Genomic DNA, 13,150 nt, shown 5'->3' with positions numbered 1-13,150 from the left:
TCATCTAATATTTATTGAACCCCTATTGTACATCAAGAATCATTCTAACTCTGGGAAGAAACCTTACATCACGAACACTACTTATTTTGTAGATCTTATCATATTAAATATATTCAATCAGCTCTGACATAGGACAGGTTTCAATGCATAATAGAGATACTTGTTTATTCATCTAATATTTATTGGATTCCTATTATGTCTCATTCACTATTCTACACTCTGGGGATACCTGAGTGAACTCAACTTACATGCAAGTGTTTTTTACAGGCAAAAACAAGCACACAAATATAAAAAATAATGCCAGGCTATAATAGGTGTTATGTAAGAAAATAAAAGCAGAATAAAAGGATAGATTGTGATAGATAGTTGCTATTTTAAATAAGGCTATTCTGGAAGACTTCTATGGGCAGGCAGCATCTGAACAAAAACAAAATTGTTTAAACAAGGAGAGACAAAGCCAAGAGACATCAGAGAAAGGACTCCAGCAGGCAGAGTTTTCAGCAGATACAAAAGCCTGGAATTGGTAATACGTTTGAAACATTCAGGAATAGAAAGATCGGTGTGGCTATCAATGAGGTAACCTGCACCAAGATCAGATAGGGAAATTATGAGAGGCCTTGTCAAGATTGGAGACTGTATTCTAAGTGTCATGAAAAGCCATTGGATGGTTTTGAATAGGAAGGTGTAGGAATAGCGAATCCATTATTTTTGTCATTAATGCATGCTTTTACTATATTTGCCAAAGCTCTACAATCCACAACCAATCAATCTTACCTTCCCAGACTTACCACAACTACATTCTTTCATAAATCCTAATTCTCTAGGGAAAAAATCCCATCATAATTTCCAATTACATCTGTCACTGCATATCAAAATTTACTGATCTTCCAAGGCCTCCAAGATTCATGTCACCTCTTTCACAAAAGGGGCATTTCTGATTAAAATAATTCATCTATCAAATCTCTATAACATTTTGTTCTCTCCATGAGAAGTCATTTCTATGTCATTCTCTTGATGTCCTGCTATTCAACACAATTGTCCAGTAATCAAACAGGCAAAATGGTCTATAAAATGGGGAAACATTAACAAAGAGATTTTTACATAATAAACATTTAAATTAAAATATGTAATTGTATTTTTGTACATGAATATTTTAATGTAGGATTGAGACCCTTTCTCTGAGTATATATTGATTAGAGTTCTGTAAAATGGTCCCCCCAACCACTCATTTGGCACGTTAATATCAATTTTAGTTATTTAATATTGAACAGCAATTTAAAGGTATCTCTATATAAATCTGAGGGTAAAATCCTTGAATGTGTTTATTTTTCTGCCTTCTAGCTTCCCCTAGAACGTTGCTACTCAAAGTATAATCTGTGGACCAGCTTCCTCATTATGACACCTTGTAACTTATCAGAAATAGTCTCAACTGGATGTCTATATGCAGAAGAATGAAACTAGACCTATGTCTCTCACTGTGTACAAAGATCAACTCAAAATGGACTAAAAATTTATACATAAGACCCAAGACTAAAAATACTACAAAGAAAACATATAGAAAACGCTCCAGGTCATCAGTCTAGGCAAAAAATTTATAGCTAAGACCTCAAAAGTGCAGGCAATAAAAATATATATAGGAAAGTGGGACTATATTAAACTAAAAATATTCTGCACCACAAAGGAAGCAATTAACAGAGTGAAGAGACGACCTGTTCAATGGGAAAAATTATTTACGAACTATTCATCCAACTAGTGATTAATAAATATCCAGAATATACAAGGAACTCAAACAATTCAACAGCAAAACAAGCAAATAATCCCATTAAAAAGTGGGCGAATGCCCCGAATTTCTCAAAAGATGACATACAAATAGCCAACAGGTTTATAAAAATATGCTCAACATCACTAATTATCAGGGAAATGCAAATCAAAACCACATGAGATATCATCTTACTCTGATTAAAATGGCTATTATTTTAAAAGATGTTTAAAAATAGAAGATACTAGTGAGAATGCAGAGAAAGGGAACTCTTATGCACTGCTGGTGGGAATGTAAATTAGTACAGCCATTACGGAAAACAGTATGTAGGTTTCTCAAAAAAAGTAAAAGTAGAACTACCATAGGATTCAGAAATCCCACTACTGAGTATTTATTTAAAAGACAGGAAATTACTATTTTAAAAAGATACCTGCACCCCCATGTTTATTGCAGCATTATTCACAACAGCTAAGATATGAAATCAACCTGTGTCTATCAATGGGTGAATGGATAAAGAAAATATGCACGTATATAGAATAGAATACTATTTAGTCAGGAAAAAGAATATCCGGTCCTTCACAGCAACATGAATGGAACTGGAGATCATCATGTTAAGTGAAATAAGCCAGGAGCAGAAAGACAAATGTCACATGTCCTCACTCATATGTGAGAGCTATACAAAGTTGATCTCATGAAGGCAGAGAGTAGAACAATAATTTTCAGTGGCTGGAAAGGATGTCTGTGGGGTTAGGGAGATGAAGAGAGGTTGGTTAGTGGATAAAAACATACATTTAGATAGAAGGAGTAAGTTCTAGTGTTCAATAGCACAGTAGAGTGACAATATGTGTCTAATTAACAATATAATGGATATTTTCAAATAGCTACAAGAGAACATTGGGAATGTTACCAACAGAAAGAAAAATGTTCTAGTAACGGATATCCTACATACCCATTATAATATTTATAAGGTACATGTGATATTTTGATACATTCTATGCATGTATTAGAGTTCCCTTTCTCTGCATTCTCACTAGCATCTGTTATTTTTAAATCTTTTTAATAATAGCTGTTTTAATTAGGGTAAGATGATATCTCATTCTGGTTTTGATTTGCATTTCCCTGATAATTAGTGATGTTGAGCATTTTTTAATATACTTGTTGGCTATTTGTATATCATCTTTTGAGAAATTCTATACCTGTATCAAAATCTCACATGTACCTCATAAATATGTACAAACATATATCAATTAAAATATTTTTTAATTTACAGAAGAGAAATACAGTCTAAAGCCCTATACCAGAATTAATTCAATGTGAATCCACACTTTAACAACATCCAAGTGGTTCTTGTAAACCTGAAAGTTGAATAAGTAATTGTCTAGCACATGTCTAATTCAATTACAATTTTTAAAACAAATTGCCTTAACCAAGTCTCTTCAAAATATTAAAGTTGATTTTCATAAAAATAACTTCCTTGCTTGCTCTCTCTTACACATTAGTATTTTACTGGTTTAGGTATGTGCAGAAAACACTTGATATAGCAGGCCTGAGAAAGGTTGGCTTGAAAAGTTGGCCCTTGTTGATATTAGGGAACTTGACTGCCAAACAGGTTTCTAAACTGGTATAAAGTTGTCCCTAAATGATAAAAGTGGCTTGCTGTGCCTAAATTGTACAAACAATGCCATTTATGATGGATACCTGCTCTCCTCTTGCAGTCAGGAGTTTTGGTACAAACTAGACAGAGTACCAATATGACTGACCCTCCATAAAAACCTTGGATTCCTAGGCTCATATGAGCTTCCCTGGAAGACAACATTTTATGCCGATTGTCACAACTAGTTGCTAGAGAAGTTAAGTGCATCCTCCCTGTGTGACACCACTGGGAGAGAACTCTTGGAAGCTTGTGCTTGATTTTCTCCTAACTTTGCACTTGGCAGCTTCTTCTCTTGCTGACTTTGCTTTGTATCCTTTCTCTATAATAAATCTTAGTTGTGATTACAACTATTTATACTGAGTCTTCTAGCAAATCATTGGACTAGGAAGCAATCCTGGGGACCCAAAACAGAGTGTAATTAAATTACCTTATTACTAAAGAAAATACAGCTGATTTTGGAACTTTCTTAGCCGATTTTTAGTAAGCATATAACTCAATTACTGAGAGCAAAGTACATGAATATTCAAGAGTCACCATGAGCAATTAGTGCCTACCAGACATAAATCAGCATATTTTCAGAGAACCGAGGTGAGGTTGGTAAATTCACTAAGGAAATAAAGCTCTCCTTAAGGCAAGGTCCAGGCTCAACAGACTGTATATACTCCACAGAATATAACACTGTGTCCCATACATAATAAGCTTTCAGGGAATAATTACTGAGAGAATTCTTTAACCATTTAAACTTTTTGTTGAATTATATTTTAAGCAAGTGTATTAGTCCATTTTCACACTGCTGATAAAGACATACCCTAGACTGGGCAATTTACAAAAGAAAGAGGTTTATTAGACTTACACTTCCATGTGGCTGGGGAGGCCTCACAATCATGGCAGAAGGTGAAAGGCAAGGAGCAAGTCATGTCTTACGTGGATGACGGCAGGCAAAGAGTTTGTGCAGGGAAACTCCAGTTTTAAAACCATCAGATCCCATAAGACTTATTCACTATCAGGAGAACACTGCAGGAAAGACCTGCCCCCATAATTCAATCACCTCCCACAGGTTCCTCTCACAACTAATGGGAATTGTGGGAGTTACAATTCAAGATGAGATTTGGGTGGGGATACAGTCAAACCATATCAGCAAGGCAAAAGGTTCACTAAGGTGTTTTTTATGAAAGGAATCATAAATGATATGCATAGCTAAATCCACATTTTGCCTGTAAGTATTTTTAACAAAAACATATTGTTGTTAGTTTTCATTATCATCTTAATATGAAAACATATCAGTAGCTTTTTGCATCTCAACATACATCAAAGTATTTATTGTGTTTTTATTATAGTGAATTTGACTGTCTATTTCAGGTCTTATGGGTTTTACTCTGCTTCACTAAAGCCCTCTAAGGCAGAGAAAATCTACAGTGGTATTCCTGCTACAAAACAAATCTGACATTCTCCAAAGCCGTCATTCTCCTTAACTTGTCAACAGATTCAGTTGAATTTGTTGTATTGATATAAAAGTTGAATTCTGAAAACTAAATAACTTAGGAAGCTATGATCTTTCTATGCTGGTTTGAAGGACTTTGCTACTTAGACAAGTAAATGACTCCATTTAGAAACTATTATTATAGTTTACCATAAGAATCAAGAACAATTGTTAAAATGTTGATTTACCATCATCTAGATAAAATTGCCTCATTTTCTCCTAACATGATTTCCTACAGCTTTTGGTCACCTAAACACGGTTAGCTTTATAAACATTAACTTAGAATGGTCTCTGATGTACATGTGCTAAAAATCATATCTTTTTTATAAATTAGAGGCCTTTGAGTACCTAGACGTCTGGTAACAACCAAGTCTATGTGATCATAGTTCTATATGAATCCTCAAAATTGCTGATCAACTTCCACTTGTATTGTGCTGACAAAAGTAACCCTGTGGATTGGAATACTGTTAAGTGCACTTTTCTACCTATTCTGATATGAGCCACAAAATATTATCTTGCTAAAGACATTTAGAACATTTATTGACAAAGAAAGTTATAGATTCAATTTTATATTGACTAAAGTTATATCTTCCTACAGGATTTTTTTTACCTCAACTATATGTTTCACAAAAATGTTAGCATGCTTTAGCAATCTGAAATTTTAATATTTTTAAGGAAAGAAAAATATTTCCTGTTATCCTAAAGAACAATGAAAATAAATTTTAGAGGAGTCTTTTTTATTCAAATACAAAAAAGTTTAGGATAATTACATTTCAGAGTAAATGTATTTTGAAACCCTTTATTCAGATGTAAAATCTAACACACCTTGATTCAGAGTTTAAAATAGTAGTTGATGCATAAAAAATTAATTGTCTTGAATAAAGGAATAAAGGAAAGTATTAAGGAATAAATGAAGGAATATATTTGCTAATAACAGATTTTTAGAGGAATAAGTTCTGACAACTCTGAAACTACAAAGTTTATCAGGAGAAAAAGGAGAGGCACCTACACATAGCAGCTTCATGCCCTTTATATATAGGTAAAAACATATTAAGGATATTAGATAACAGAACATGTTATTTAGTAAATTTTTGTGATGTATGATTTATCTGTCAGTTCTTAATTTAAGATTGTACTGTATTACTGGTTATTTCTAAATGTGTTTTCCTATTTATCAACCTCTAGTCATAGTACTAAAAGCATTAGTTTGTAGTGCATGTAAGAATATGTCTTAATTATCAATTTCTTTTAAATGTGTTTTTCTGCATCCCACTAATGGTCTTAGGTAATCACCATAATCACATTTAAAAATAGGAAAAATGGAGATGAGGAAATTATATGATTCATACAAAGGTTTAAATGAAGTAGGAAATCATGTCATAAATATACTCTGCAATTTTTTGCACAAGTGTTATCTCTTATCACCACTAGTTCTAGAATGAAATAACAGATTACATTTTAACTGTACAGAAAAATCCTAAAGAGAGAGACAAGTACATCAACCATCATTCTTAAGCAATTCAGACGTTCTTCCATCAAACAAATAAAATGTCCATGGACTGTCTCTAAAAAACACAGTAAACCCAAGACCTAAAAACAGAAAATGAGATGAGTTTCATTATAAATTTCAAAGTCTGAGATCTACACAAAATATTTCAGCTTCTATTAATTTCCATTCCTTGACCTGCTCAATTGTCCAATACCCAATTCTAATATTGTCTTTCAAAATTAGTCTCTCGGTGTCCTTATAAACCTTGTAAACATCACCATCATCATTCTCTAGTGGAGGGCAATGATGTGATTCATTCTGTACCTTGAGATGATCCTTCATCATTGTCTTCCCTTTTGGTATAAAGTAGTTTTAAAATTATCCACTTTGTGGGCAAAGAATATGAACAGTCACTTTTCAAAAGAAGACATATATGTGGCCAAGAAGCATATGAAAAAAAGCTCAACATCGCTGATTACAAAAATGCAAATCAAAACCACAATGATACCGTCTCACACCAGTCAGAATGGCTACTATTTAAAAAACCAAAAGAAAAAATAATAGATGCTGGTGAGGTTGTGGAGAGAAAGGAATGCTTATATACTATTACTAGGAGTGTAAATTAGTTCAGCCATTGTGAATGACAGTGTGGTGATTCCTCAAAGACCTAAAGACAGAAATACCATTCAACTCAGCAATCCCTTTCTGGGTATATACCCAAAGGAATATGAATCATTCTATTATAAAGACACATGCACAGGTATGTTCATTGCAGCACTATTCGTAATAGCAAAGGCATGGAATCAACCTAAATGTCCATCAGTGATACACTGGATAAAGAAAAGATGGTACATATACACCATGGAATACTATGCAGCCATAAAAAAGAATGACATCATGTCCATTGCAGGGACATGGATGGAGCTGGAGGTCATCGCCCTTAGCCAAATAATGCAGGAACAGAAAAACAAATGCCACATGTTCTTACTTATAAGTGGGAGCTAAATGAGAATACATGAACACGTAGAGGGGAACCATACTCATGGGCCTTTCAGAGGGTGGAGGGTGGGAGGAGGGAGATGATCAGGAAAAACAACTAATGGGAACTAGACTTCATACCTGGATGATGAAATCATCTGTACTAGAAACCCCCATGACACAAGTTTACCTATGTAACAAACATGTGCTTGTACCCCTGAACTTAAACTAAAAGTTAAGAATAATTATCCACTTTGGCATATGAATAGAGTATATACATGAACTTCATACATGAAAAAGGGAAATTACAAATCATTATTCATAAAGAGAAGACCAATTCTTCAAACAAGCTAGAAAAACAGACAAATTGAAACAAATAAATAATTAAAACCTTTACATAATATCAAAGATCAAAATAAAATTGTATCTAGTATGTAATGATTTGGTTATCGTATCTGCAAAATTGGATTCTTGGAAAGGCAGGGCCCAGGGCAATTTTGCAGACTTCAGGCTCTGGAACCATCCAATGAATGTCTGTTTCATTCTCATCTTTGCATTTCTTTGCATGTTGGCTTAATTTTCTCGTGCTGCTAAAAAAATATCTCTTGCCAGTCAGAGGGGATGACAACCAACTACTGAGCTTAAATTTGCACACATTAGTGACAGAGCTAAAGATGCTCTTCCTTTATCAGTAGTTCTAATTTTCTCAGGGAAGGAATATGACTGGCTGCACTTGGGTTAGTGGACACCTCAATCCATTGCTGTGGCCGGAAAGCAAATTCCATAGTAAATCTGTCAGTTGTCATTTGGACCACAAGTCAAGATGAAGTTATTTTGCTCAAAAGAGGGGAAGATATTGGCAATCAGGACAATGTAATGTAATTATAAAAGACATATCTGGATTTATTTACATTAACGGTTAGCAATAAAAATGTAAAACTAATCACCTATATACAAGATTTAAATATAGGTATAAATGCTTGCTACATCACTATGTGAGTGTAGACAAGTTACTTAATTTTCCTGAGTCTCTATTTTTGGCTTCAAGTAGAATTTATAATTTTTCCCTAAAAAAATTGTTCTGAGATAAAAACACAAAGTATCTTTGAAGTGGCAAGAGTTTATCTGGACATCATAACCATCACTCATAATTTGTGGCTATTATGCAAAATGTAAATGGTCACAATCAATATTCACTTTGAAAGAATTCTGGTAAATAGCCTGGTCAAATATTATTTTCAAAACAATATGTTTGGGGGCTAATTTGGTTAATAATAATGCCACTAATTATTTTAGCATTCTGGACCATATTGGTGTATGTATCCGTAAAGCATCAGCACACAACTGCATACATGAATACATATGTGGTATAGGTAACCGAAAGGGATAGCTCAACAGTAAAAGGAAAGCTAAACCATAAGAAAACCATTGTTATCTTTCACTACTGATACACATTTCTTTTAGCAAGGTTTACATTTAGAAGGGTGCTTTTAGAAGTAATCTACTTTTATAGTTTCTCTCCAGAGGCTGTTATGTAGAAGCAGTGGCAGTACTTAAAATAATTACTCTATGGCTATATTATGTGTTTCCATATTAGCTGGTATAGTGAAGGTGAAGGACCCTTGCCTTCAAATCAATGAAACAAGCAAAATTTTCCACCGTTCAATATTACTGAGAAGAATGTTTCTGTGCATCTCAATTACATGAATATAAAGTTGTGTTGTGTTTCAATACTTACCAACCCTAGGTCTATATTTTCAGACTTTCTCGGTTTTATAATCTATTTCTTCAATTCACCTAACTTTCATCTCTAGGATAACTCTTTTCCAAAATTTAATTGGAAAGATTATTCTTCTTTTTTTGTAAGTGCATAATGACCAACTATGTGCCAATTGCCTAAGTAGCTGATATTCCTAGCCACACAAGCCCAAACTTTAATATCAGGATTATGAGTAATAAGCTCTGTTCATTGTTTGTTCCCTCCATACGCCAAAGCAGGGCTCTCAGTCCTCTCTAGTTTATTCCACATCCAACTGTAGTGAATCCCTAAGAGATGGCTGAGGCCATCTTGCATACAAATCCAGAAAAGTCTCTACTTGGCATTTCTTTGTACACTGCAAATCCTTCAAGTAGAGTTGTTCCCCCTAGGCAATATTACCTCTTCCGGAAACCACTATTTCTTCTCTATGCCCTCTAGTCCAGCAACCATCAAAGTTCTATGGGGTACTAATTACTCCTAACTACAGCTTCCAATGGACACTATCAAACCTATCTGGCACTACCTGTTCCAGGTACTGTGGACAGTGTGTCTATTTGTGCTATGCTGTATGAAAGAAGCTACAAAGCAATGCTTAATAATAGATATCACTAATTTAGCACTCATGACATGCTAGGCACTATGCTAAAGCATCTCAATATTCACTACCACATTATATAAAAGATACTAATCTTTAACAATTGAAATCTCAGCTGAAAATATTGAGTACACTGTTCAAGATCATGCACTGAAGGACAGTGCTCATTTTCACACCTATATCTAATTCCCCAAAACCCAAATTCTGAAATATCTTTCTAAATATTTACAGAGGTTTCCTGCCTAAAATCACACGAAAAAAACAACTAAAATGTAAGAAACAGATTTTTAAAGACTTTGGATATCAAGCAACAAAGACAGTGATCTCTGAGAGACAGGAAACAAATGAGGTAGCCCCAGGACTGGACCTTCTTACCATCTTAGGAGACATTTTAGGCAATGATACAGACAAGGAAAACCCCTACAAGGCCCAACCATCTTCCTGAACTGAGGAAATGGAGCTAAGATTCGAGGAGACCAAAATGACTAGAATTCACAGGGGAGAGGACCGGTGAGGAGTTATACAGAATAAGAACCTCAGAGAACTGTGGCAGCTCCCCTGCAATATTTAGCAGAGTACTGAGCAGCTCGTGGGTGAGGAAATAGCCCCAATTCAGGAAAGAACTACCCAGAAGGATTAGATAAAACATTCTCAAAGCACACATGGAGACAGGAATAGTGCTTGTCCCTCAGCCAGAATTAAAAACCTTTAATTCAGAGGGCATTGGGTAGAGTATTCAGAAAGATCTTACATCAGTAGCAAAACAAACCAACAAAAAAAAAAAAAGAAAAGAAAAGAAAATTAGCCATAGAATAAACACTGCTCTGGGTTTCATCTAACAATTTTAGAAGCAATACCTAAAAGGATCAAACAGTGTTCCATTAGCTCAACTATGTTCCAGAACAAAGCTCAAGAATACTTTTCAGAACAGAAAATTCCAACACAAAAAGGGTGAAATTGACAATGTCTATACATAAACAATATATTGAAGATCATCACAAATACTATGTAGGTAAAAATACGTAATTTTTTCATTATGTAAATGTATTTAAAAGAAAAAAAACTGTGTTTCTGCTTCCGGGAAGATAAATAGACATACCTTTTTTTCATTCCTACTCCTAAGCAATTCTAAAAACTCCCAACATTACATATACAACAAAATCAGATACTCCTCAACTTATGATGGGGTTACATCTGAATAAACTCACCATAAGTTGAAAATATAAGTCAAAAGTTAATTAAATACAACTGATAAACCCATGATAAAGTTTAAAAATTTTAAGTTGAATCATTGTAAGTTCAGATGCTCCTCAACTTATGATGGGATATCATCTGGATAAATTCATCCTAAAGTCAAAAAAATTATAAGTTGAACAATTATATATCAAGAACCATCTGTGTAAGAAGATTCTAAAAGGTAAGGAGGCAGCAACAGACTGGCTAGTGCATACTAAGAATCCAAGGAATGACACGGTGGCAAGTTCCTAAAACTAACCCTATCCTGTATGTCCTCCATGGAAGAAGACCCATCTTTTGGTTTGGAATTTCTTCCATAGATATTCCTTCTACTCTGAATGTATTGAGGAGACTCCCAAATCAAAGCTTTTAGGCTTTGATGGAGGGACTAGTCAAGTTACCACTTTTGAGAGAGAGAAACAGCAGATAAGTACTAGTCCATCGTACTGCTCTGCCTCTCTTGCGTTACTACACAGAATGTGAAAAGGGAGGGCATCCAGTTATTGGGTGCCTTCCTGCTGCTGATAGTGTTTAGCCAGCGCTTTAAAAATAACATTGGAATTCACTGCAATCAGTGTCTGCACTTTCTGAACTCTTTCCAAGTCTGAGCATATACGTGTGGCAGTTTCTACCTACTGAATGCTGCTATTATCCATTAAGGAAATTCCAATTAAATGATTAAATGATACCATTACCTAAATATGGATAAGTTCCAGAACCTAAGCAAAAATAAAAAAGAATGAAGGAAAAATATATATGAGAGAAATGTAAGCATGGAAGGAAAGAAAAGGCAAAATCTAAACCAGGAGGTGTCTCTTATGTTTTTCAAAGAACTAATCCTGCTATCTGAGACCACAGATTCCTCCTTGTCACCACACTGCTTCACCACCTGGGGCCATGACAACTGATCAAGGTGGCATTCCTCCAGTATCTCTCCTAGGCTATCTGAAGGCTTATAAAAATATCATTGAAATTTGTATCTGTTTTGATATATTCTCATTGGCACTAGTGAGTTTGAGCCTTGGCCAGTGTCATTTTCAGGAACGCTTCTAGGCATTTTTTTTTTCATTTTACTCTCTTACATCTTTCAATTTCTGCCTTCTCTCCTTCCTTGATCAGCTTTAAAAAATAAAAGAAGTTGTGGCGGGGAGGAGGAGCAATACTCTAATTTCACTTAGACAGAGCAATTCTCTTGGAAAAGCTTAAGCCTGAAACTTATCCAAAAAAAATTAAACTCATTTCCAGATTCCATAATGTTTCAGGTTGTAAAGACATTTTCTCCTAGCATTCTGGGAAATAATTTTTAAAATTAGCTAGAACTACCCTCCAGCTTTTTACTCAGCAAAAAGCCTACCTGAGGACACTTACACATTCTTCCACAGTCACTGACTTGTTTGTTTTAATATGCTTAGGTCTGGCCTGGAGTGCTCAAATATAGTGCTTTCTGTCTCTGATATTTCTTTGTTGAGTAACAACTCAATCAGATACCTGAGTCATGGTTCAAAGGCCTCTGACCTAAAGCCAGGATAAGGTTTTTCTGAAAACAATCCCAGCTTTTGATCACAATTTCTTCTAGTAAAATAGGAAGTAACTTCTCAAAGTATGTATCCTGATGTTGAGGTGCATCCATCAGTCTGACTGGAAATATTCTCCAACTCCTCAAGTTATCTACCATCAGGCCCTCCTTCAAAGAAGAAAACAATTCTTTTTTAAAGGTTGCATCAAAAGGAAAACTGATAACTTTTTTGGGGCTCCAGACTAGTTCTCAACAAACTTGCTTCCTATCAACAGGCTAGCACATAAAGCAGATAGTTGAAGGGAAACCACTCCTCCTGGTACAGCCATCCTGAGTACCCATGTCCAATATGATCTTATTGAAGTTTTCCAGGTCTGATAAATCCTATTCACAGATGGTCATTATTTATGCCACCAAAAACCTATAAATTCATCTTCATCTCTCTGTATTATTATTCTCTTACTCTAGGGTTTATCCTGAATGATGCTAGAGGGGCAAGAGAGATATACTTCACTTTAGCATAGGAGTGCTATCATGCCTGTGAAGTAATTCAGGTTTAACTTGGGATTTACTACCTTGAAAGGTAAGTAGATGGGTAAATCATTTACAAAAAAGATAAAAATGTAAACAGAAAGAGACAGGATTGACAGATTTTATCTGATTCATGGCAAGGCTATATCTACG

This window comes from Homo sapiens, chromosome 12 (genome assembly GCF_000001405.40).
Source record: "Homo sapiens chromosome 12, GRCh38.p14 Primary Assembly".
In the NCBI taxonomy this organism is placed as follows: Eukaryota; Metazoa; Chordata; class Mammalia; order Primates; family Hominidae; genus Homo; species Homo sapiens.
The sequence above is the reverse complement of the archived record's forward strand: the minus strand, read 5'-3'. Positions refer to the sequence as shown.